At 41.3% G+C, this 27,350-nt stretch overlaps 1 protein-coding gene across 3 annotated transcripts in view; it reads right to left on the bottom strand.

Annotated features, from left to right (window-relative positions):
- Positions 1-27,350, bottom strand: part of PCSK2 (proprotein convertase subtilisin/kexin type 2) — a 258,472-nt gene that overhangs the window by 69,874 nt on the left and 161,248 nt on the right. For all 3 annotated transcript variants that reach the window (NM_001201528.2, NM_002594.5, NM_001201529.3), the window contains one exon: positions 5,366-5,442. In NM_001201528.2, coding sequence (NP_001188457.1) covers positions 5,366-5,442 — 77 coding nt within the window. The remainder of the gene's footprint in view (positions 1-5,365; positions 5,443-27,350) is intronic.

The following is a 27,350-nucleotide window of genomic DNA, read 5'->3' as shown; positions in this document are numbered from 1 at the left end:
TCAGGATGATGCTGGCCTCATAAAATGAGTTAGGGAGGATTCCCTCTTTTTCTGTTGACTGGAATAGTTTCACAAGGAACGGTAACCGCTCCTCTTTGTACCTCTGGTAGAATTTGGCTGTGAATCCGTCTGGTCCTGGACTTTTTTTGGTTGGTAGGCTATTAATTATTGCCTCAATTTCAGAGCCTGTTATTGGTCTATTCAGAGATTCAACTTCTTCCTGGTTTAGTCTTGGGAGGGTGTTTGTGTTCAGGAATTTATCCATTTCTTCTAGATTTTCTAGTTTATTTGTGTAGAGGTGTTTATAGTATTCTCTGATGGTAGTTTGTATTTCTGTGGGATCGGTGGTGATATCCCCTTTATCATTTTTGAATGCGTCTATTTGATTTTTCTCTCTTTTCATCTTTATTAGTCTTGCTAGTGATCTATCACTTTTGTTGATCTTTTCAAAAAACCAGCTCCTGGATTCATCGATTTTTTTTGAAGGGTTTTTTGTGTCTCTAGCTCCTTCAGTTCTGCTCTGATCTTAGTTATTTCTTGCCTTCTGCTAGCTTTTGAATTTGTTCACTGTCGCTTCTCTAGTTCTTTTAATTGTGATGTTAGGGTGTCGATTTTAGATCTTTCCTGCTTTCTCTTGTGGGCATTTAGTGCTATAAATTTCCCTCTACACATTGCTTTAAATGTGTCCCAGAGATTCTGGTATGTTTTGTCTTTGTTCTCATTGGTTTCAAAGAATGTCTTTATTTCTGCCTTCATTTCGTTATGTACCCAGTAGTCATTCAGGAGCAGGTTGTTCAGTTTCCATGTAGTTGTGTGGTTTTGAGTGAGTTTCTTAATCCTGAGTTCTAATTTGATTGCACTGTGGTCTGAGAGACAGTTTGTTGTGATTTCTTTTCTTTTACATTTGCTGAGGAGTGCTTTACTTCCAATTATGCGGTCAATTTTGGAATAAGTGCGATGTGATGCTGAGAAGAATGTATATTCTGTTGATTTGGGGTGGAGAATTCTGTAGATGTCTATTAGGTCCACTTGGTCCAGAGCTGAGTTCAAGCCTGGATATCCTTGTTAACCTTCTGTCTCGTTGATCTGTCTAATATTGACAGTGGGGTGTTAAAGTCTCCCCTTATTATTGTGTGGGACTCTAAGTCTCTTTGTAGGTCTCTAAGGACTTGCTTTATGAATCTGGGTGCTCCTGTATTGGGTGCATATATATTTAGGATAGTTAGCTCTTCTTGTTGAATTGATCCCTTTACCATTATGTAATGGTCTTCTTTGTCTCTTTTGATCTTTGTTGGTTTAAAGTCTGTTTTATCAGAGACTAGAATTGCAACCCTTGTGTTTTTTTTGTTTTCCATTTGCTTGGTAGATCTTCCTCCATCCCTTAATTTTGAGCCTATATGTGTCTCCGCACGTGAGATGGGTCTCCTGAATACAGCACACTGATGGGTCTTGACTCTTTATCCAATTTGCCTGTCTGTGTCTTTTAATTGGGGCATTTAGCCCATTTACATTTAAGGTTAATATTGTTATGTGTGAATTTGATTCTGTCATTATGATGTTAGCTGGTTATTTTGCCCGTTAGTTGATGCAGTTTCTTCCTAGCATTGATGGTCTTTGCAATTTGGGGTGTTTTTGCAGTGGCTGGTACTGGTTGTTCCTTTCCATGTTTAGTGCTTCCTTCAGGAGCTCTTGTAAGGCAGGCCTGGTGGTGACAAAATCTCTCAGCATTTGCTTGTCTGTAAAGGATTTTATTTCTCCTTCACTTATGAAGCTTAGTTTGGCTGGATATGAAATTCTGGGTTGAAAATTCTTTTCTTTAAGAATGTTGAATATTGGTCCCCACTCTCCTCTGGCTTGTAGGGTTTCTGCTGAGAGATCTGCTGTTAGTCTGATGGGCTTCCCTTTGTGGGTAACCCGACCTTTCTCTCTGGCTACCCTTAACATTTTTTCCTTCATTTCAACTTTGGTGAATCTGACAAGTATGTGTCTTGGAGTTCCTCTTCTTGAGGAGTATCTTTGTGGTGTTCTCTGTATTTCCTGAATCTGAATGTTGGCCTGCCTTGCTAGGTTGGGGAAGTTCTCCTGGATAATATCCTGAAGAGTGTTTTCCAACTTGGTTCCATTCTCCCTGTCAGTTTCAAGTACACTAATCAAACGTAGATTTGATCTTTTCACATAGTCCCATATTTCTTGGAGGGTTTTTTCATTTCTTTTTACTCTTTTTTCTCTAACCTTGTCTTCTCACTTTATTTCATTAATTTGATCTTCAATCACTGTTACCCTTTCTTCCACTTGATCAAATCGGCTATTGAAGCTTTTGCATGCGTCACGAAGTTCTCGTGCCATGGTTTTCAGCTCCATCAGGTCATTTAAAGTCTTCTCTACACTGTTTATTCTGGTTAGCCATTCATCTAACCTTTTTTCAAGGTTTTTAGCTTCCTTGCAATGGGTTAGAATATGCTCCTTTAGCTTGGACAAGTTTGTTATTACTGAGCTTCTGAAGCCTACTTCTGTCAACTCATCAAAGTCATTTTCCATCCAGCTTTGTTCTGTTGCTGTCGAGGAGCTGCGGTCCTTTGGAGGAGAAGAGGCACTCGTTTTTTAGAATTTTCAGCTTTTCTGCTCTGGTTTCTCCCCATATTTGTGGTTTTATCTACCTTTGGTCTTTGATGTTGGTGATCTACAAATGGGGTTTTCGTGTGGATGTCCTTTTTGTTGATGTTGATGCTATTCCTTTCTGTTTGTTAGTTTTCCTTCTAACAGTCAGGTCCCTCAGCTGCAGGCTGTTGGAGGCCCACTCCAGACCCTGTTTGCCTGGGTATCACCAGCAGAGGCTGCAGAACAGCAAATATTGCAGAACAGCAAATATTGCTGCCTGATCTTTCCTCTTGAAGCTTTGTCCTAGAGGGGCACCCACCTTTGTGAGCTGTCTGTTGGCCCCTACTGGGAGGTGTCTCCTAGTTAGGCTACATGGGGGTAAGGGACCCACTTGAGGAGGCAGTCTGTCCATTCTCAGAGCTCAAATGCCATGCTGGGAGAACCACTGCCCTCTTCAGATCTGTCAGACAGGGGCGTTTAAGTCTGCAGAAGCTTCTGCTCCTTTTTTCCAGCTATGCCCTGCCCACAGAGGTGGAGTCTATAGAGGCAGTAGACCTTGCTGAGCTGTGGTGGGCTCTGCCCAGTCTGAGCTTCCTGGCCGCTTTTTTTTACCTACTCAAGTCTCAGCCTCCCTCCATCAGGCTGCTGCCTTGCAGATCAATCTCAGACTGCTGCACTAGCAGTGAGCAAAGCTCCATGGGCGTGGGACCTGCCAACCCAGACATGGGAGAGAATCTCCTGGTCTGCTGTTTGCTAAGACCATGGGAAAAGCACAGTATTTGGGCAGAAGTGTCCCATTTTTCCAGGTACAGTCTGTCACGGCTTCCTTTGGCTAGGAAAGGGAAATCCTCCGACCCCTTGCACCCACTGTCCAACTAGTCCCAATGAGATGAACCAGATACCTCAGTTGGAAATGCAGAAATTGCCCATCTTCTGCGTCGATCATGCTGGGAGCTGCAGACCAGAGCTGTTCCTATTTGGCCATCTTGGAGTGGAACCTTTTAGTTTTTTTAAGGAGTATTTTTATAGCACATTGCCCAGGAAGATTTGACTAGGGTAGATTTTGTTTGGGTTCAGAAAATGAGATTGGGGGATAATCTTTCCATTGGTTATATTTTTGTGCTTACATCAATCCATCAAAGACTAATTTAGTACCTACTAGTTACAGAAAGACAGCAAGTAGCCAGTGGATATGTTGCCACTGCACTTTCTGATATTCATGCGGAGAGCTGGTAATCAATCCTGCTGAAGCCAGACCCTCTCATGGCCCTTCTCAGCACTGTGCCCTGGATGGCCACTGCCAATTCTGTCTAAACCCCAGCTTAATGGCACACATTTGGTAACTTCACATTCTTGTGTCTGAAATGGTTTATTTGCTAAATATATGCTACCATCTAGGGTTAGAAGTCACAGAGATAAAACACACTTCATGCCAAAAGTTTTCAGACCTTTTTTATACATTCTCATCCTCTAAACACACACCTCCAAGCATTGTATGTCATTTTCAGGTTGCAGGTGATGTGGATAGAGAATGAATTGTGCTATCCGACATCAGCAATGATCTTTACAAAATATTACAAAATTAAATTTCATTTTCTTTTTTCTTATTTTCTGCATTTGTACTCAGAACCTGTGTACCCTGTGTCAACCCTTGATGAGACTGAGGGGTCTCAGGTCAACTTGCTAACTTTAGAGACAGAATCTAAGCTTCCTGTCCACTGAGGCTCTACCCTTGAACATATTCTGGTCATCATGCTGCCTGTATCAAATAATAGAAATGATACTCAGCAAAGAATAGTACAAATGTGGATTTGGAAATAATTTGAAGCATGGGGCTAATCTTGGCTTTGACTTGAATTTTAACTGTTTGACCAAGGAAGCCCTTCAACCCTTCTGAGCCTGTTTCCTTATCACTAAACTAAAAATGACAACATTTGTTTTATGTGCTACTTAGAGTGCCATGAGAAATAAAAAAAAAAATGGATAAAGTGCTCTGCACATCATATATTTTTATACAACTAATTGAAGTTCATATGTTTTTATGAACTTCACCCAAGGACGTCAATAACAGGGAAACACTAGGTTTAAAAATTACAGTATTCTTTCATTGAGCAAACCGCACATCTTTATTTCTTCATATCTCTTATATGTAATTAACCATTTAAGAAAAATGTTTACTTGAAGAAAAAAGAGACCACATTTCCATGTTTAGTGGCAAAACAAGCTGAAGGAAAATTATTCTCTTGGATGGACTGTTTGGGTAGTTTGACATCATAGGATCTTTGTCCCAAGCAATACTTCAAACCTCTGCCAATCACACTTACTGTTTTGTTGAAAGGGACTCCATGAGCTGTTATGGGGTTATAGCAGAAAGCGTACAGAATGCTTTTCAAAAACACATAGACCCATGGGGCAAAATACTTCTCTACGACAGTTTCAACACATAAAGCAAAATCAGCATGTTTTAAATCACCTTGTAATGGGTTGAGAAAGAACTTCTTATTTCTATTTTCTTTTCTCTTTAATGGATTAAAGTAGCAAATAATTTCAAGTTAGCAGAACAAAACAGTCAAAAGATTATTCTAGAGGAAGATTGTAATATTAAAAATTTCACTTTAGAGAATGTAACCACTAAGAAGAAAAATCACAATATAATTTAATGAAGCATGGGGATTATTTTGCTGGTGGTAGTCAAGCCTGAAACAAAACAAAGTAGAATAAAACCCCAAAGCCTAAAGTCAAAGAGACCTCCCAAGGCCCAGTTTACCTGTTAAACCAGTCATCTGTGTACCGAGGGTAAGGATAGGGGTCGTTGCTGCTGAAGTCGTAACTTGCTTCGGCATTCTGAAAAACACAAGGCATCTCATTAGGTCCGTACAGCCAGAGGCGCAGTAAAGGGAAAGCGCTGGGAGACTTTAAACATTTCTAGTCCTCCCTGGAGTGCTGGATTAGTGTGCTGCACTGGACCAAACCTCACAAAATTGTGTTGGAGCCAAAGCATGTCTTTGGGGTTTTCCATCCTCTCTTGATATTCTCTTTCAGGCTTCCCCATTTCATCCTATTTCAAGCCTTCAAGGGGTTAGCAAATGTAAGCCCTGTGTTCTCCAGGACTGTCTTCCTTTCAAGTTGATGTAGCCCTTGTGGTTAATGGATTTCACCTGGAACCCAAGATGTAGGGTAAGCTTCCTTAATCCTTCCTTGGACAGATGGCCAGATGTTCTAGTTCTCACATCACAAGTGAGATGGCCTCTAGAGTTTCCTTGCTTTACACAGAAAGCTCACAACCAGCTTCTTCCTTCAGACTAGCATAGGCTGGTTTCCTTTCCCCTTATGGGTTTTAAACCCCATGCCCAAGGCCCTGACGTTGTCCACAATTGACCTTATTTATTCACTCAACAAATATCATTAAGAGTCCAATATATGTCAGAGACTTTGCTAAGTACGGGAATACAATGGTGGCATCCCTGCCCTTATGTAACTTATAGCCTAGTTGCGGGAACAGACATCAATCGAAAGATCAAACAAAGAAATGTACCATTACAAACTTCAATAAGTATCTGTATGAACTCTTATGCCCTACAGCATATGGTCAAAAGTGTACTATTCTCTGTCATCCAGCACCTTCCTTTTTCCCACTGAGAATCTTTCCCCACATAAAATAATTATGTAGCCACTAAAACTGTCTAAGCAATTTTGTGGGTTTTTTTTTTCTTTAACATTTAGGTCTTTAGTTGGTTTGCCTTTTATTCTGGTCTGTAATGGGAGATGATCCACCATTGTTTAGTGAATAACCCATTCCTTCCCCATTCCCTTCTCTGCTTGCTTGGAGAAGCTGCTCTCTCTCAAGTTCCTTTTTCCTCATCTCATTCTCCTCTCCTTTGTTTTGGGGGTCTGAAATGAAGACCCCAGATGGCTTCTTGGTTCACAGTATACACTGGGCCAGGAAACACTGGGTTAGAGGCACATTCCAGCTTTGGCATTTCTTGATGTTATGGGTCCTGAGACATATTTAGGAACTGTGCTTTATCATAAGATAACACACAAGTTTTGTGACACACTTGAGTTTGTAAGCCTAATGTGGTGGCATAATGTTTTTAAGAGCAACTCCACTAATTCCATTAATTTTTGTTTTATTGTTTAGGTGACAAAATCACCAGTAGTTGTAATAATCAGAGTTGTAATGCTAATTTATTTAAATAAATGCTGTACTTGGGCAGGAGTCACCCTGAAATTTGGCCCAGTAATTTGCCTGGAGTCTTAAGCATGTTGATCCTTTATTCCAGGATCTAGGTCTTCATTCAACACTTGGCTTTCAGAGAGGAGGAAGTCTTCTCGTCTCCACTGACCATAACTACTGGCAAGTTGCCAGTTTTTCGACTCCTTCCCCACTTAGACCCCAGATTGCTTTCATTCACTTTAAAAGTTTAATTCTGTATCTGGCCCGCAATCCGTGTTCCTGGGAGACCCTCTCAGATTTGGCCTTTCTCCCACTGACTTCCCATGCGATATTTGGATTTCTGTTTTTTTCAGAGATACTATTTTGAAATAGTAACTTGTCTTCCCCAAGGGTGTTCTGTTCTCCTAACCTCTGAATTTTTCAGAGATAACAGCATTCTTAGGTATAGTTAGTGGGGTAGGAATATCGAGAGAAACACAAGTTAATACTTTTTTTTCTGGGCTTCAAAGCTGAGATTGAAACTTAAGCAGTAGATTTGGAAGAGTATCTGCCCAATCTGGTTTGTTTCTCTTTAGAAAAAATTAAAATTCCCTAAGGTGAGGTGGGTGGAAATCCAGCACGAGTGGCCACTCAGCGGGCCCCTGAGGCTGCCTCTTCCTTCTGAGGTGTGCTGTTGGAGTGGGAAGAGGCACGCTGGGATGTCCAACCTCAGAGAGGCCTGGGACTCAGCTCACAACAGGGACATAGTGTTGCAGATCAGAAATGCCCCTGTGAGGCATCTGAGCTACAGGCTTGGGGCAGCTCCATCCTGCATTCCCTTGATCCCCAGTGGAGAGCAGGGAGCGGAGGTTGGTGAGGATGTGACGCTGAGAACTAGCTGGCCTAGGACATTCGGGTGGTCAGGACAATAAGCATCCAGGGTTTAGGCAGGATCTGGGTGAACTGACCACCGAGGCCAATGGGAATGGTGTTACTGCAGAAGCCAGAGTGGACAGATGATGAAAACCAGCACTAGGTCCCCGTCTCCCTCTCTGGAAGGCTGTATGAATCTTTTGAAGCTTGAGGGCGCTTCTGGAGACAGGGAGGACAGGGGCAAAACCTGAGCGGACTGAGACCATGTTTCTACCAGGCTGGCAGAGGGAAATGAAGTCAGTGAGGGAAAACTAGAGAGTGTTTGTCCCTTTGTAGCTGCTGCCTGAGTGACTGGCTTCTCAAACTTTCCACTTGGGCTTATCTTTTGGGCTGATAATTATCACTGGGGTCTGTCTGAGTGAGGCTGTTGGCTCTGCTCCTGACTCTGGGAAAATAGTTTGGCCGGACATGGCAGGGGTTGGAAGCAGGACCTGGAGAGTTCTGAGAGCAGAGCTTACAGCAGAGAACCCTCAGAACTCTGCAACCACTTTTATAACAAGAAGAAAGACCTTGTATTGTCTGGGGTCAAATTGGCCTCTGAATGTTGAAATGGATGATAACTCAGGAACCCCAATTATTTTGTTGCCTTTGCAATGAAGTTTTGATGACTAATGCTTAATTCCTTGGGTAACAGTCTACACTGAACATTAAGGAAGGCAAACAGTTGTTATTCTTGTTTGGCTGTATGTTTTCTGGCTAAAAATCAAATGGTTTCTAGCAAGGAGGAACCATATTTTGCAAGCGTTCTGTTTATGCTTGTACAGCCAAACCGAGTCATTTATTGATTTGAATTACAATGCTGTCTCCCATAAAGTTATTTGTGTACAGGAATAAGTTAAACTGGCCTTGAATGCTACTGGAGTCTTCTATAATTGCCATTAACATGGACATTTGGAGCAGGTGGTGTTTGGTGAATTTAATGTTCTGGTCACCGAGGCTTGCCAGATGCTTGCTTTGTTTGGACTTCTCTAACTTTTTACTGAAATCCTTTAATCGATTTTCCTGCTTTAGAAAATACTAGCTGTTTGGTGAAAATAATTTAATCTCTGATGATTCAGGATCGAGATGATTCAGAGTCATCATTAAGAACTTGAATTATCATTGTACCATCACACCGAAAGTGAGAAGGTTGGGTTGATTCCAAGCTGACCTCAGGGCTTCTCTGGGAGTTATTTCTGGGAGAAACTTCTGATGATGGCTCATGTTCTCTTCTAAAAGTTTAATGCACAGGGGAAAAAAACCCATCCCTGGTATATAATAATTCTAAGGCTTAATTTCTGAATATTTGAATGCATAATTAGGAAGAAAGATGAGACTCGCTCTTAGCTAGAAAGTTTAATAATTACAACTTGGCATTGTTTGCAGTGTGTACTTTTCAAACAGATGGCCTGCACCACGCTAAGAAAGGACAGTCACTTATTATATTCACAGATTCCTCTGGCTTTTTATATATGAGGTGCTGTAATTGCCTGGCTATCAAAGACGCAGGCCCACAGATGACACCTTTCGGATTTGGGGCTTGTCTATCTGAATGGCTGGTGATGAGAGAGGTGAGAGCTCCTGCAGTCAATGGTGGCTGTGCCCATTGCTTTTACATCCACAGAGAAGCTTCTGAGGCTCCTGAGATTGCACCTGGCCCTGGCACTGCCATCCATACCTTCAAATCTGGAATTTAATGCCTCTGTGATCAATGGGCTTCCCTGGCTGGGCTGCCCTAGACAAATACGTCTGCAGGTACCAGCTTGATGTAGGGGAAGGAAGAGAGACATTCAAGTCAAACAGACTTGGTTTTGAAATGAGGCTGTTTTTGACCCTGGAAATTTTCCTATTTTTTAGAAACTGTAGTTTCCTCATCTTCAAAATGTAGGTGGTAAAACTGTTACTAGTTGGTTGCTGTGAGGATAAAATGAAACAAGGAATGTAAGCTGGCAAGCACGTTGCCCCACGCAGTATGGGCAATGCCTCACCTGACTTCTCCTGTTGTGTCCTCTTTCTTTGATCACCGACAGCAAAGGTCACAAAATATGGCCCACCAGCTAAATCAGCCCATGGCCTGTTTTTGTAAGTAAAGTTGTATCGGAACACAGCCACATCCATTTGTTTATGAATTGCCAGTCGCTGCTTTTGCACTCTAACAGCAGAGATAAGTCGTTGTGACAAAACCCCACAAAGCCTAAAGTATTTACAAAGTGGCCTTTTATCGGAAAGAGTTTGCCAATCCCTGACCAATGTCCGAGGCCTCTTGGGCTCCCAGGCTGCCCTCTGATAGCCCACACTATAGCTTCTCACTCAGTCTTTGTCTTTCTAGGCAGATCTCTCTGCTCTGAGACATACGTGCCCCATACCTCGTTCTCTCCTGGGCTACAGCCACTGAATCTGGTATGAACTAGGCTGACTACCTTGTTGGGAGTTTGAAGCTTGCTCCTCCTGTGTCTCATGCTAGCTGAAGGTGGGTTATCAGGCAGATACTGAGCCCCAGCTCACCAGGTAATGATGGAGGCTGAGGAGAGCATTACATTGCGATGGTGAAGAGGTGCCACCGTGGTTTCCACCACTCCACTGCCCACCACTGGTCAAGCCCCTAGGAGTCACCGTCCTCTAGTTCTTCTGTTTCTCAACCTACGAGTGTCCTGTTTGTTTCCAAGGTTAGAACACTGCCCTTGGCAGAGAGTGGCAGTTACTTGCCATAAGAAAGAAGACCAATGTATTTAATATGGACATCCACTGATGTGATTGAACAGATATTTTTAGAGTACTGAGGGGCAAACTCTGTGGTCCAACTACAAAATTGTGAAAATGGATTCTGTAATCAGGGCTGTTGTGTACAGTTGTGCAGGTTGTGCATTGCGCCAGGGGTTCCTGCCCACAGGGAGCAACTAGGGTCTGCATTGGACTTACCAAGCCATGTGCACCACCCCCACACCCCAAGGTGGAGGAGGCTTTAAAAAAGAATTGGTCAGCCCAGAGGGGCTGCCTTTTGCTCATTTGTCCACCCAGAAGGGGACATCTTTTCTAATTTGCCCATAGACAGGGTGCTGTTTCCCAGTTCACCCACCAGTAGGGAATGTCATTTTCAATTTCACACAAATGGCACTATATACCTACTAGCATGTCCACGAAGCACAAGAAACAGGTCTCTATGGTTATAGTTGTGCACAAACCCGACCTCAAGGAAATTGTGCCACAGAAGACAAGATGTTTCTTGTGAGACTTGAATAACATCTTAAATAACAGGAGTTTATGATCACGAGTACAACGTGGTAATGATTAACTGCCAATGTAATTCCACAGCTACAGGAACTCAGAACAAGAAACCGCATTGCATTTGTCCTTTTATTCTGTCTTGCTACTTTCCCTGAAGGCATTTAACCAAATAACCCAGCTAGGAGCTGTGTAACAGTATTAGCTGAAATTGCACTGTGCTCATGGACTAATGAAAGAGAAATGAGCTCCTTCAGATAGACTCTCAAACTGCAACCATATTGCCCCAGAACAAAGCTCATCTGTATGGAAACTGAGAAGCAAAATAGCCCAGTCCATTAGAGCCTAAAGAATTTTGCTATTGCGCCTACTTGCGTCTAATATGGCCACGGCTTAATGTTCCCAACTGTGCCTATTTTGATTTTCCTCAAGTAATTCTCCCACATGCACTGGTTTAACGATAATGTTCCGCTCACTTTTGACTGAAACGAACATTAAAGGGATTTATGTCTATATTAAATCTGGCTGTAAAACTTAATGAAATTTAACATTTCTTCAGCATTCAAAAAAATTTAGAAAAAGATACATAGTCAGAAACTTGTTTGAAATCTTTCTTCCATACTCCTAAGGTTGCCAGGGTCATATAATTTTCTAGTGACACAGTGTTCTCCCATTGTGGATTTGACACATTTTCCCATCACTTTCTTCTTGCTTTTGGAAATTCTAGCAACTTCTGTAGTCACTGGAGCACTTTCCAGATAAGAGGAGTGATACAACTGAACGGTCAGGCCACACAGTTGTGTCCTGGGTGGCTGGACATTTTATGTTTTCTTTTCTTCTTTTCTTTTCTTTTTTTTTTTGAGACGGAGTCTCGCTCTGTCGCCCAGGCTGGAGTGCAGTGGCGTGATCTTGGCTCACTGCAAGCTCCGCCTCCCAGGTTCATGCCATTCTCCCGCCTCAGCCTCCCGAGTAGCTGGGACTACAGGAGCCCACCACCACGCCTGGCTAATTTTGTTTTTGTACTTTTAGTAGAGACGGGGTTCACTATATTAGCCAGGATGGTCTTGATCTCCTAACCTCGTGATCCACCCGCCTTGGCCTCCCAAAGTGCTGGGATTACAGGCATGAGCCACCATGCCTTTTTTTTTTTTTTTTTGAGACAGAGTCTTGCTCTGTTGCCCAGGCTTGAGTGCGGGGGCATAATCTCAGCTCACTGCAACCTCTGTCCCTAGGGTTCAAGTGATTCTCCTGCCTCAGCCTCCTGAGTAGCTGGGATTACAGGTGTGCCACCATGCCTGGCTAATTTTTAGTAGAGACGGGGTTTTGCCATGTTGGCCAGGCCAGGCTGGTCTCGAACTCCAGACGTCAAGTGATCTGCCTGCCTCAGCCTCCCAAAGTGCTGGGATTACAGGCATGAGCCTCTGTGCCTGGCCAGTATTTACCAGAGCTAAGCAGCTCCATCCTTTGGCCCTCATTGCCACCATTATCAGCAGACTTGGGAGAGGTTCTAAACACTAAACAGATGAGGAGATAATAACATTAATTCTTAATGGCTAATAGGGTGCCCCAAATTAAAAAGATGCCTTTATCTTTTTCAAAGTTGTTTAAAATATATTATTTAATTGATATTTTCCAAAACCCTGTGGTGGAGGAGTGCAGCTGTATTGCAGGAAGGAGCAAACAGTTGCTCTAAGTAACAGCCGAGGCAGACACCTCCGGAGGGTATCTTTAGAGTGGCCTTTGCCTGTCTATGTCTTCTTGCTCGGCTTGCTATTTTAGAAGGCCAGTGAAGCATGTATTAGGCTAGATGGAGGCTGATTCCCACACATGAATTTTAAGAGCTTCCCTAAAAGCGTACATTCCTGGAGCTGACCTGATGTATTAAAAATAAGCTGCCATTCATTGGAATGAGGCTCTAAGAGCTGGCTCCAAGATAGGCTCTAAAACTTGGGTGGAAAAATTTACATTGTTATTTGCACTAGCCACCACCTCAAATCAAGCATTTCCTTCAATTACGAATGGGAAGTACAAACAACAGTATTATTAGCAGTACCTGTGAGCATATCATCAACATGTATCTTCATTCCACATTAGGGTTGTTGCCGGTATGCTAAAAAGTATCTTTTCAGCACACCCCTACCTGCCACTAGATTTTGTTATTTGATGCATTAATAAAGGACATATGTTAGCATTTCACAGATGTGTAATTTCAATCTTTTGATAACTGCTTCCATATAATAGCATTCCTTGGTGCCATAGTCTGAATGTTGGTGTCCCTCCAAAATTCATATGTTGACATATAACCCCCTGTGTGTTTGTATTAAGAGGTGGGGTCCTTGGGAGGTAATTAGGTCATGAGGGTGGAGCCCTCATGAACGGGATTAGTGCCCTTATAAAAGAGGCCTGAGGGAGCCTGTTTAACATTTCCACTATGTGAAGATGTGGCAGGAAGTCCTTGTGTATGAGGAACAGGCCTTCACCAGACACCACATCTGCTGGCACCTTGGTCTTGGAATTCTGGTCTCCAGAACTGTAGCCAATAGATTTCTGTTGCTTATAAATTACTCAGTCTAAGATATTTTGTTATATCAGCTCAAACAGACTAAAAAACTTGATTACCTTGTATATCTTGTTAATGTATTTAAAATATTATTTTGAGAATGAGGGGACACAGGTGCTTCTGTATGTGGTTGGTTGGTATGGAAGTTGGCACAATCTCTTTGAAGAGAAATTTGGCAATATCTATCAAAATAAACATGAATGGACTGTTTGACCCAGCAATTCCACCTCTAAGACTCTACCCTAAAGATATTCTTCCATATGAATGAAAGATGTATATTTAAATATATTCATTCTGGCAGTGACTGTAATAGTGAAATATTAGAAACAACCTAAATCTCCAACACTGGGGATGAGTTAAAGAAATTCTGGTGCACCCATATGATGCAAAACTCTGCAGCTCTGGCAAAGAATGAGGTATGAAACTAGCAATGAACTCATTCCCAAGAAATGTTGTTAAGCAAAAAAGGCAATATGTAGAATAGAGTGGATAGTGGGCTCCCATTTGCACAGAAGAGAGGGATGGACTTGATGGTAAGTATAGAGTAGTTCTGAGAAGAAGCACAAGGGTCTTTTTACAGTACTTTGCCTGGGGAGAGGCGTGGGGTCTAGGGTGGAAGGAAGACTTAGTTTTAATTACATTTTGTAATTAAAATTAGTAAAAATTACATTTTGTGTAATTTTTTTTTACTGTAATGATATCAGGTAGCACATATGGAGTGCGTATTTTGTATAGGGGACTCTTAGATATTTTGTATGCATTACTCATCCTTATGATGTCCTTATGTGGGTAATACCCTTATTGTCATCCTCATCCTATAAGCAGGGCAGTGTAGGCACAGAGAGGTTGAATACTTTGCCCAAGGTCACACAGATGATGAAGGGCAGAGCAGGGATTTAGACCAGGCAGTCTGGCTCCAGAGACCTCTCTCCTAAGTGTGCAATCTTGCTTTTCTGCATCAGAATTATATTAATCATATTCTACTGCATGCATTATTTAAAAGAAAAGCAAATACCTGGCAAATAAAAAAGAATAAGTTAGTGCATTTACTTCCTAGAACATCAGTGGATCATTCTGTTTAAATCCAAGTATATACATTTAGCTAATAATTTAACCTCCCACAGAGGGCCATACTTCACTAAAGAGCTAGGGGAGCACATGAAATATATTATTTTGTATGGTCCATTCATTTTTTTAATAACATGGTTTTATTTAGTAAATTGTCTCATCCAAGGTTGATGTAATGCCTTTGAGGCCTAAACCAGCAAATATGCCTCCAATGAGAAGGTTAATTCTCCTGATTTCAATGGCAGGGTTCAACCTGTTTCTTTGTTCTCTGTTGATTATGTTGTTCCTTATAGAAATAGGATTTAAAAAAAAATCATACTCTCTATAAGACAAATAACACTGACGACTGAATTCCTCAGAATCTGAAATACTTCCTCTTTTTTCTAGAGCCTCTTCAACACTACCTGGTGGCCCCTGGGTTTCTGAGTACAGCTTGACAATCATTGACTGAAAATGCCATGAGATGCTTACACGTGGTGCCTGCTTTTCATGTTAAATAACATGGCATCGCACGGCAGGACTGTGGCTCCTTGCAAAACGCTCCTGCAATCCTTATTATGCCAGTGACAAAGTCTCTGCTAAGTGCCCCCATGGCTTTAACACCTCCGTATACTTGTTAATCCTTCTTCTTATCTGACAGAGGCAAGCATTGGCAGGCAGAAACACCCTGCTTCAGTTGCTTACGTTGCATTTATTTTGACTGTCAATTCTACTGATGTCATGGAATATTAGTTGCTTTTCTATTTGAAATAGTGATTTATAGTTTCCCTTTAAAATACATTTGTTTATGTTAAAAAGTAAGTCAATTTAAAGAAACATACTAGGTAAATAATAACACCAGTAGCAAAAGTGTATAGTGACTGTTGGTTGGTTTGGCAAACACTGGAATAAAGTAATGGTGTGGAAAATTTGTGGCTTTGACTCCTCCAGTTATTAACAAAGTCAGGCTTAAAAGTGGGCCAAGATTTAAGTACTTCTATGGGGTATTTGAAAGAGTGATGGAAAAGATGATCTGTCTTAAAATACCCATCCTGCCACTTGTCATTTTGATAATAGGACTGTAATCCTTTTCATTCCATAGACTGTTGACTTCAAACATTTCCATTCATTCATGCATTCAGCCAATCACTTATTTTTTTTCATTGAACAAATTTATTGAGCACCAACTGTTTGCCCCCATTGTACAATAGCAAATTGCTGTTGCAGAGGAAGATGCCCTTAGCTGGGGTGTCTCATTAGCCTTCATGAGCTCATATATTATGGAATTTTTAATAGCACCTTCAGTTATCAACTAACAGTGGTTCCTAACTCAAGCTGCACAAGAGAATCACCTGGAGAGCTTTTAGAAATACAAATACTTGAGCAATTCCTAGATTCTGATTTAATTAATCTGGGGTGGGGCTTGAGCATCAGGAGCTTAAAAAAAAAAACAAACCTCCAACAAACCCAACAGAACCTCTTTTGGTGGTTCTGATGTATAGTCCAGGTTGAGAACCACTGAGCTAACACCTTTGTTCATACCTCATATCCTAGCCTTCTTGTGGCTTAAAATGTGATCTGTGTACTAGCAGCACTGACATTACCTGAGAACTTGTCAGAAATCCAGAATCTCAGGCCCCAGCCCAGACTGACTGAATCTGCATTTTTTTTTTTTTTTTTTTTTTTGAGACAGGATCTCACTCTGTAACCCAGGCTAGAATGCAGTGGCACAATCATCCCTCACTGCAGCCTCCAACTCCTGGGCTCAAGTGATCTTCCCACCTCAGTCTCCAGAGTAGCTGAAACTACAGGCGTGTGCCATCATGCCTGGCTAATTAAAAAAAAATTGTAAAGACAGAGTTTCACTGTGTTGCCCAGGCTGGTCTCAAATTCCTGGCCTCAAGCGACCCTCCCACCTTGGCCTCCTAAAGTATTGGGATTGCAGGCATGAGACACTGCATCCAGCCCACACTGATTCTTTTATTTGTGAAATGGGTGGCAGGTTTGCCTTTGATTCCCCGCTTTTCCTTTCTGCATCCATAGCCTCCCTGTTATAATCTTCTCTCACTTTCTCTCCTCCCCTTGCACCTAAACTCTTCCACAGGAAGAAATTGATTTTGATAAACCATCGACATCTTGGCAGAAATACATTCAGACATTGCCTTTCCCAATATTATCTGCTTTAACAGAAGAGAATGGGCATTGAAACAAGTTAATCTCTAATAGTAAAGATTGAAAGGTGTTAATTTTGGGAGCGTCAAGAACTCCTTGGCATGTCTCAGACTGAAGTTCTCTCTATGGAAAAAGTCAGCTCTGAGAACAGAGTTGTCACAATGGATTTCTTTGGTTCTGAAGGAGAGGTCTAATGAGCCAAAGAAAACAAAAGAAAACAAGAGAAAGTGTGTGACTACTAAGCATAATATTATTGAATTTGGCCGGGGGCGGCGGCTCACACTTGTAATCCCAGCACTTTGGGAGGCCGAGGCAGGTGGATCATGAGGTCAGGAGTTCAAGACCAGCCTGGCCAAGATGGTGAAACCCCATCTCTACTAAAAATACAAAAATCAGCTGGGCATGGTGGCGGGCACCTGTAATCTCAGCTACTTGGGAGGCTGAAGCAGAGAATTGCTTGAACCTAGGAGGTGGAGGTTGCAGTGAGCCGAGATCATGCCACTGCACTCCAGCCTGGGCGACAGAGTGAGACTCCATCTCAAAAAAAAAAATATATTGAATTTTTGTGCTTCTGGTAGTTGAGGGCTGCTGGAGGGATTGATTCTGCAAGAAAGAAGAGTAAAAGTTCAGAGTGGAGGGTTTCCTGCTATTAAACAAGTTTTGATGAATATTACGGTCTGAATTATTTTTGACTCCTGCTGCTTAACGTTTATTTCAAATTTTTAATTTTAAAACACACCCAATTACAGACAAACTCAATGCCAAGCTGCAGGAATGAGAATAGGAGCTAATTTCTTTTTAAAATGTGCTTATATTTCAACACACACTTATTTTTATACCTGACTTTTTCCTGGAAAGAAACAATGTATGTTTTCTGGATTCCAACAAATGATATAGACAAATAAAAGTTAACAGTATAGTAAGGTGTAATTTGGATTTAGCAAAAACGGAGATGCACATAGGTAACTCTAGGTGTGCTTTGATTCTGTGCTCAAGTCTTTGCTTGGCCTCATTGTCCAAATTTGACCTGAGTATCGCTTGAAGCAGATTCGAATTCATGACCCATTCTACTTAGGCAACTGCCCTAGAACTGGCCGATTCTCCCAGCCTTGTTCCAGCCTGGTTGGATTTCTCCCATTTCCTAGAGGCCTTCACTGCTGAGGTCTCTCTATGCCCCCCATGGTGACAAAACTGACCTTGACTCAGCCTGGGCAACATGGCAAGACTCCATGTCTACAAAAAGTATAAAAAATATTAACCAGGCATGGTGGTACGCACCTGTAGTCCCAGCTACTCAGGAGGCTGAGGCGGGAGGATCTCTTGAACCTGGGAGTTGAGGCTGCAGCAAGCTATGATTGTGCAACTGTATCATCCTAGCTTGGGCAACACAGTGAGACCCTGTTTCAAAAAAAAAAAAAATAAGTTGACTTTGAGTGAGCTTCTTGTAAAAGCAGCCCCAGCAGTGCTGTGAGCCATCATCACTTCATTCCCTATCATGTCATGAGAGGATGATGTGGAAACAATGGCTAATTTGAAGTTGAAGGAAATAGAAAAGACGTGGGTTTAAGAAAAGCAGTGGAAGGTAGCTTTGATAGCTTAATGAGAGGTTAAGGCCAGTGATCACACAGGGATGCCCTCCGGGACTCAGGACAGGAAGAGGGCAGCCTGCAGATGGGCTTACCACAGCTGCAGTTATGGACTTGCCTGGAGAGAAGGCTGAGGGTTGAAGGGGCCCAGTGTAGCTGGCTCAAAGTACAATTGAAGCCTGATTCTTGGAGTTCCACAAAGACTGGGTGTACAGTCAAGGGTCTACAATAGCAACCGTGTAAATCAGCTCAAGGAGAGCAGCTCCGGAAAAGGAACCAGAAGATAATGTAGCAGCCAGAGTCTAAATTTGTGTTGTCAAGGTGATGAGGTACAAGTCAATTTGTGTTTCCCTCTCTTTTGACTGGGTGTTCTCTGATGTTGTAGAGATGCTCAAAGCTTCTCCGCCCTTGCCTCCTCTGTGAGAGTTCTGCTTGCCTTTGAATGGCTGGCGAGGTTGAGGCCACTACCTTTGAGTCCAGATGTCCTGAGAGAGACAGAGACACTAGTTTATAGCCCTCCCCCTGAGACTGATTACACAACTTCAGTATCACCTGCTTCTCCTTTTTCAGCTCTAAAAATAGCAAAGATGAGTTCACTGATAGCTGAGTCACCTCATCGAAGGGGCTGTTGTGTCCAAATATCATTGATTGGAAACTTTGTCTAAAACACATCTTAGATGATGTTTTTTCCTTCTGTCAAAAGGACAGGTATATGAATAATAAATACTGTATCAGGGGTCTGTTGCTATTATACATATACATATAAGTTTTATGTATAAATTACAAATATGTGTAATTCAGCACAAATTAATTTTGTGTGAGCCCCACAGCAGTTTTGAGAATTAAATATTATAACCCCCATTCTACAGGTAAGAAAACTGAGTCTCCATGAGATTATGTAATTTGCTCAAGGTTTTCCAGCTAGAAGTGGTTGAGTACAAAAAATGTGACCTTCTGACTCAGAAAGCATTCTCTTCTCTCTGCACTGCATGACATCTGCAGCTCATTTTTATGATAAAAAGTAAAGAAAAAAATGTACAAGACTGTGAACACCTTGCTTATCCCAGCACACTCAGCACTGAGTGAGAACATTAAGACCTAAGTTGTATTAAATGATAGCAAAATCAGGACTACCGTCATGAAAGGTGGACTCAGGGACTTGAGTTTCTACTCATTTTTGCATCCATAATAAACCAACCCCCGAAATTTGTAAGTAATCTTCTCGCTTATTTGTTTTTTCTTGTAACAGTTAATCTTTGCTTTGATGATTCTTTTTAGGATAACATTGCTAAGAGAAGATGCAAATAGAGTGTCGTGACCTTGGGAGATAAACAGAAAGAAGTACAAGGCACTTTGTAAATATCTCAGTGTTTATAATAGCTGGGGAAAAAAAAAGTTAAGTAGATCGGTTCTCTTTCAGGAAGAAGTAGTTTGAACCTTTGAACAAGACCAAGTTTATGTTCCCAGCTAATGTGAAATGTGACAAAAAAGAACTGATCCCCAACTGTTCTGAAGAAAGATTAAATGCACTTCTGGTTCTTTTCACAGCTATTCATCATTTTAATTGGTTTTGAAGCCAAAAAACTTGGACAGCATTTGGGATGGGAATCCAACTTCATAATTCATAAACTATGGAAAAGTGATTATAGCCTTCATTTAGAAGCTGGGCACATACCTTATTAAGTTGCTACAATATGAAACACCAAAATCTACATTAATCACACAATCCCTTTGTGCACAGGGGTTCCAGCAGGTGAATTATGGGACACTGGTTTCTTGGGAAGGAAATACTCTGCCCTAGACCTTTTGGAGATGACACGTCCCTGACTCATGGTGCTCTTTGCCATTCCTGCTACCACCAACATTCGTGGCATTTTCAAGAACCAGGAAGAGAGCTCATCCAACCCCCGTGCCTCCCTGTTCCTTGTCCTCTCCTCACATGACACTCTGCAGTGAATAGATGTCCCTCACTTTTCCATCCCCTACGGTTCGCTCCAAGTGGTTCAAGGACATGTCCTCTTCCCACATGACACTCTGCTGTGAACAGATATCCCTCGCTTTTCCATCCCCTCCAGTTCTCTCCAAGTGGTTCAAGGATATGCACTGGGTTTTTTACTTGATACCACTTGCACATAATAGACTCTCAACAAATGTATCAGATAAATAAGCAAATTTCAAGAATTGTCTAAGTTGTTTTGTTGACGTCAGTATCATTTGACATTATAAGAGTTGTCAGGTGGAGCTCACTCATGCTCTGAACATTAACAAAATTATTATTATTTTGTTATTATCATAGAGAAAACTATAGGTACAGAAAACAGATCCAGGGTCTTGCTATGTTGCCCAGGCTGGATTCAAATTCCTGGGCTCAAGCGATCCTCCTGTCTCCACCTCCCAAGTTGTTGGGACTACAGACACATGTCACCATGCCCAGCTAACGAAATTATTAAAATAAAACTGTTTGCCTTTGGAATTCGGTAGAGCAACACAAGCATGCTTCCAAGAGTTTCCAAATCTTTAAACATTCAGCTTTCCATTACTGTACTTGTACTTTTTTTACATTAAATGTTGATATTTCAAGCCTCCTTTTTTAATGTGCTAGTGCCATACCACTTTTATTTATACCACACTTAGCTATGGAGGTGTTGTAAGCAGCATTATTTACACATTTTAATTGCATTTTGTTGTTATTTTAGGAAAACAAGTGGAAAATGGAAATGAAATAAACTGACACTAGAGATAAAATAGAGGTCTCATAAATTTAATACAATTGAAACAAGAGAGAAATCATTAGGTGTGCTTTGAACAGAAAATCTTTAGTCCCAACAGAATGCTTACTGGATTTAACTCAACTGTGCTTAATAGTGATTGAAAAAAAAGAAAAAAAATTTAAAAATATTCATCTTTTTGAAGATAAATGATTAAAAATTATGTCTAAGAGTTGAAGTATAATAGGGATTATGTAATTATGATAATTCTAACTTTTTTTTAGCTTTCTGGGAGCATAATCTTACATTATAAATGCACATTTATTGTTCAAATTTGGGAACTGCATATATTTTCCAAAAAATCAAATGGAAAAATACTCAGAATTTTATTTAAATTTATTTCATTCAGTTAAAAATCTTGAGATATACTTGCTTATAAATTTTTTTGAAACTTTTAAGATACAAAATTTGATGGGAAAAGAAAAAGGAATGAAGTATCTTAGCTTAGCTTGACACGAGACCTAAAATAAAAACGGGCAAGTGATGTTCTGGTCTCATTGGACTGAAGGCATCAGAGTTCACAGCATGAGTCCTTATCTGATTCTGGGGACAGAGCTGGGATGAACGGCTACACAACGCCTATCATAGCACATTTACTCACAGACCAAGGCTATCCAAGTAAGAATGATATTTACAGAGTAAAGCATTCTGAACTCCAGGGACAACCGCACTGTTTTCTAGGCTCCATGACTCTGAGGACTGTCACATTTTCTAGACATTAAAGAGCAGTTGGTTTACCATACAGCCCCTCAATCCCAAGACAGAGGACATCTAAATTCTATACAAAAATCTGTGTGTAGATGTATATAACGATTTTATTTATAATCGTCCAAACTGAAAGTTATCCAAATGTTCCCAGACTGGAAAACAGATAAACACATTGTGGTACATCACACAAGGGAATGCTACGCAACAATAAAAAAGAACATGTTATTGATATATGCAACCACATTGATAAAGAATAAATGCTTGAAAAAGCCAGACTCAAAGGCTGTATACTGTATGATTCCATTTGTATAACATTCTAGAAGAGACAAAACTGTAGGAATAAAAAGCAGATCTGTGGTTGCCAGGACTGCGAGTGGGAAAAGGGGCAGCAGGAGGAAAGTTTTTTGGGTGATGGGGATGTTCTGCCTCTTGACTGTATGAACTTTTGTCAAAACTCATGGAACAGTGCACCAAAAGGAATACATTGTACTTCCTGTAAATAAAAGTTAACATAAAATATAGCAATTGGCTATTGGACTAGAGTAATTTTAAGTAATAATAAAGTGCTCTTCTCCTGGTAGAAAATTATGATGATTTCTAATCACTGCTTTGGAATGTACTAATTCTTCTTTCAAGCCTTTTTTAGGGGACCTATTCAAAAGAACTGTTTCCCCCCAAAATTGACTAAAATGACCACTGGGCAGGTTGTGAGTTCTTCCTGACTTGTCAGCAAGATGCTGAGTTCTTTCCTGTCAGGTCATTTCATCACAGGAACAGGCGTAGTTTCCTTCAGGGCCATATTCTCTCGAGTTTAGAAAGTGTTTGACTCCATTCAAGGAAAAACATAATACCTTGGGGGATATAGCCTAACTGTGTTAGTTGGAAAGTGTCCTATTTCCTGAAGGATGAGCTACATGAGACAGGGGATATTTGGGACTCCTTGACAGGATGGCTTCTCTTTCCTTTCCTTCCTTTCCTTCCTTTCCTTCCTTCCCTTCCCTTCCTTCCTTTCCTTCTTTCCCTTCCCCTTCCTTCCTTCCTTCCTTCCTTCCTTCCTTCCTTCCTTCCTCTCTCTCTTTCTCTCTCTCTTTCTTTTTTTCTTTCTTTCACATGGTATCACTCTGTCACTCAGGCTGGAGTGCAGTGGTGTAATCATAGCTCACTGCAGCCTTGATCTCCTGGACTCAACTAATCCTCTTACCTCAGTCTCCTGAGTAGCTGGGACTACAGGCACCCATATGTCACCATACATAGCTAATGTTTAAATTTTTATTTTTGTAGAGATGGGGTCCCACTGTCTCTGTTTCTGAGCACCCAGCACACATTTGGGAGAATAAGAGCTACTTCCTTTTCCCAGCACTAGCCCAGGTCTTGGCCTTCCAGCCTCCACTAGTAGCTCATGACTCAGCATTTAAGTTGAAGCTTGGTGGGCAGAAGAGGCTCCCTTCCATTTGTCTTCATTTCTGGTTAATTACAGTAATTGGCACAACACTGTTTCCATCCCTACATCTATTAACCAGCAAATGTTCAAGTCATAGGCTCTCAACTCTCATTAATCTCATTGATGAGTTTTTTTATTTTTTTTAAATCATGTGTTTTATTTCCTCATTATGGAAGTTTCAAGTCAGCAGCGAAAATAAGGCCATGTTGATGTCAGCTCCACTTCTGCTTTTCAAGGGCATCGGAGAATCTTTGAATATTTCAGCATTCTCTCAACTTTATTTTTCCTGTCTTTGAGATCAAAATGAGAAGGGATTCTCCTGGGAGGACTATGCATTGATTCAATCTTTTCAGAGAATAATTTGATAAGGTTTATTAAAATTAATATTGCATGTACTACTTGACTCAGAAATTTCACTTCTAAGAACTTATTCTAAAGGGATATTCACACAAGGATTTGAAGAAGATCAAGGAAACACATTCGTCTCGTAGTTTATAACAGCAAAACTTTAGGGGAAACCCAAAATGTCAATCATTAGGGGCTTGGTTAAACAAATGACGGAATATCCACACTGTTGGAGAGAATATGTTGTTAAATAAAAGAGCAGGTTGCATGATACGGTGTACTGTATGATTGCAGTTGGGGGAGAAAAAAAATCTGGAAAGATCCATGCAGAACTGCCACGTCACCAAAATTGGAAAGTGAGTGGGTTGTATAGAGGAGGAAAAGGAGAGGAGAGAGAAGGGAAATTGCAGTTTTTATTTTATCTACACTTCTGTAATGTTTGAATCTTTTTGATGATGAGCAAGCCTTGATTCTATATTAAAAAGGCAAATAAGGAAAAAAGAGTGATGCATTTCTAAGAAATTAGTACAAATGATTAAACTAGACCCCTTTTAGAGTGTACAGCGATTGGAGAGTTTCCAAGTGCCCTGACATCTATCATCTTCGTTTATGCCTGAGACAACCTAGGGAGGTGAGCAGGTGGGCAGTGAAAATTCTGAGGCAAGACATGGGCAGGCTTCTCCACTCATTCTTCCCACATTCACAGGGCATTTTTGGTGGTAACTGATTTCTAAACTGGCTCTTTTGCTTATAGGTTGTGCTTTAAATCATGTTTTTTAATTGAGGTATAATTTACAGTAGCATATGTGATCTTAAGCATGCATGCTGCATCTTAGCAGTATGTAAATCTGAGTCACCATCATGCCAATCAAGATAGTGGACACTGTCATCACCTTGAGGAGTTGTCTCACCATATGATGCCCTTCTCAGTTAATCTTCACCTACCTTAGGCAACCACTGTTCTGATCTCTATCGCTGTATCTGAATTCTGCCGGCTTTAGAGCTTCATGTAAATGGAACCAGAGAGTATATGTACTCTTGCATTTGTCTTTGTTGGTAGCTAACAACATTTGGAGATTTGCCTATTGTACTGTATGCAGCAGCAGTTTGTTTGTTTTGTTGTGGGATAGTATTCCACTGTATAAACACATCACAGTTTTATTTATCCATTCACTTGTTGACGGGCATTGGAATTATTTCCAAGTTTTGCAAATATAAAGCTGCTATGTATATGCCATTTTATAAACATACCTTTTTGTTTCTCTTGAGTACATACTTAGGAGTGGGATTGCTGGTTGTATGCTAAGTGTGTGTTTAACATTACAAGAAACTGCCAAACTTTTTCCAAAGGGATTGCACCATTTGACATTTGCACTAGCAGTGTAAGAGGTTGTAGGTAGGTTTCACCCTCACAAATACCTATCTTTAAGTATATCCATAGGATTTTCCATAAAGGAAATGCTACAGGGACCTTTCAGCAGCTGTAAACCCTGCACTGAACCCTTACCCATTCTAGTCCTCACAGCTCCCCAGATTAGAGAGATAAGATAAATGAGCCCTGGTCCTTACCCCAGGCAGTAAGTCCAGAAGACAAGTCTCTTAGCCGATGGTCCCTGAAGCTGCAAAGTCTGAGCAGTGTTCAGGCCTGAGCATCTGTTCACACCCTTTCCATGAACCAAAGAGCATCTGTTTCTTCAGGTTCAGTCGATATTCATTGTTGTTAATTTGAGAGATCTCCCTTTCTCTCTCCACCATTCTCTCCCTATATTGATATTGGAATGTGTGGACATATACTCTATATCATATATGCCCTATGTCACATAAGGGCATATCCCCTGTATCCTGGCTGTGTGAACTGATGACCACGGCTGTTCCTTCCAAGACCCTTGACTACAAGCACATCCAGGTCCAGCAGTTCTCAGGGTGTGCTGTGCCCAACCTGAGCTGTACATGGCAGATTTTAGGGGTAGACGGTATCTATTTTTATGATTGTCTTATTTATATGGCAAGTGAGATTTTCCATTTATGGCGGTAATGTAGAGTTAACTTTTAAAACTACCTATTAAAATAGTGAATCAGTTAAGTAAAAATGATTAAATAAATAAAAGCACAGTGGGTCATGAGAATTGCAGTTTGATTTCATATTTAGAAAACCCCAACTCTGGTACAATTTCTCATTATCTATTAAAGACACTCTGAGTGACTTGGTTGATCATCATAATCAAAGGAGATTTACTAAGCACCCGTTGTCACTCAGAATATAATGAGCCCCAGAGTAGATACAGGCCCCTGCTTGAGACTGAACATCAGTGATACTGTTACTAAATATATTCCCGTCAAAATCTTTGTAACATCTAACTCTCCATGATGTGCGAAAAATCCGAGCATCCAATTAATTTCCAGATCAACGCTGCATGCTTTCTGATTAAGCATCATAAATGCTATTCAGCGCTCTCTGTGGGTCAGTCCGGGTTCCTGCTGGTGGTGGAGCGAGGCTTTAAGCTCACTGCTGACTCCCCTCCTGAATTTCCTGTGCACAAGACTCCTTCAGGACCCTAGTGCCTGAACTTATGAGGTGCCTAATGAGGCCCGCGCTAAGTGATTGTGTTTTTGTCTGCTTTTTTTAGAGATATATGTTTTGCAGATATCATCTTATGTTAGGTGTCCCTGAAGGTTTCTGTTTTAAGAGGAAGAGAGAAAGACTATTTAGGGAGCACCTCTGAAGTTCAGGGTGCTTTAACTACATTCTTTCTCTCTCTCTATCTTCCTTTTAACCATAACAGCTCTTTGGCAAATAATCTTTCTCCTAGAAAAGCCCCCATCTGCTCTCCCTGCCTCCTTTCTTGTTCACTCCCAATCTGTCTCTTTAGCAGGCAAATCTTTGAAAAATGCCAAATCTAGGCATGTTATTCCCCCTCCCTGCCACCCTGAAGCTTCCCTTTGCTCCTAGGATGAAGTTATGAATCCTCATGGCTCAGAAAGTTTATACAGTCGGTTCTCTTTCTACTTCTCCAATGTCATCTCATGCCATATTTTTCCTTCCCGTACTGATATACTTCTTTCCCCCAGCACACACACACTGGCCTTCTTCAGATCCTTGAAAGGGCTGAGCATGTTCCTGCCTCAGGGTCTTTGCACAAGCTGTTCCTTCTGCTTCCAGATTCCTGGCTAACTCCTCCTCATTCTTAAGGTATCAGCATAGGGATAGCTACTCTAGGGAAATCTTCCCTTAACTGGCAGCCCAGATCTGGTTCTCCATATTAAACACATTTATATCACCGAGTACTCTTCCGCTGTAGCAAAGCACCTAGATCATAATTATTTCTGTAGTTATTTCTTTGGAGTCTATTTTACCCTCTAGTTGCTAAGGTCCTTGAGGGTAGAAACTATGTCTGCTCTATTCAGCCACTTGTCCCCGCCTCCCAGTTGGGATCCTAGGGATTCTTGCTTCCTGATATTCATGACCTTGTATACAGTCCCCTACAATGAACAAGGCTGACCCATATAACCAATAGGACATTTCAAAATTGTGGTGTGTGACTTCTGAGGCTAGATCGTAAAAGATATTGTAGCTTCCATTTTGGTCCCTCTCTGAGATTGCTTGCTCTGGGTGAAGTCAGCTATCATGTCATGAGGATGCTCAAGCAGTTTGTGGAGAGCTACGTGCAAGGAGGAACTGAGGCCTCCTGCCAACAGCCACCATGTGAACCATCTTGGAAGTCGATCCTCCAGCCCTGGTTGAGTCTTCAGTTGACTGCAGTCATGGCCAACATGCTGACTGCAACCTCACGAGAAACACGGAGCCACCCAGCCAAACTGCTCTTAAATTTCTGAC

The sequence above is a fragment of the Homo sapiens genome, chromosome 20 (assembly GCF_000001405.40).
Source record: "Homo sapiens chromosome 20, GRCh38.p14 Primary Assembly".
NCBI classification, from domain to species: Eukaryota; Metazoa; Chordata; class Mammalia; order Primates; family Hominidae; genus Homo; species Homo sapiens.
Note: the sequence above shows the minus strand (reverse complement) of the source record. Positions and strands in the feature narration are given on the sequence as shown.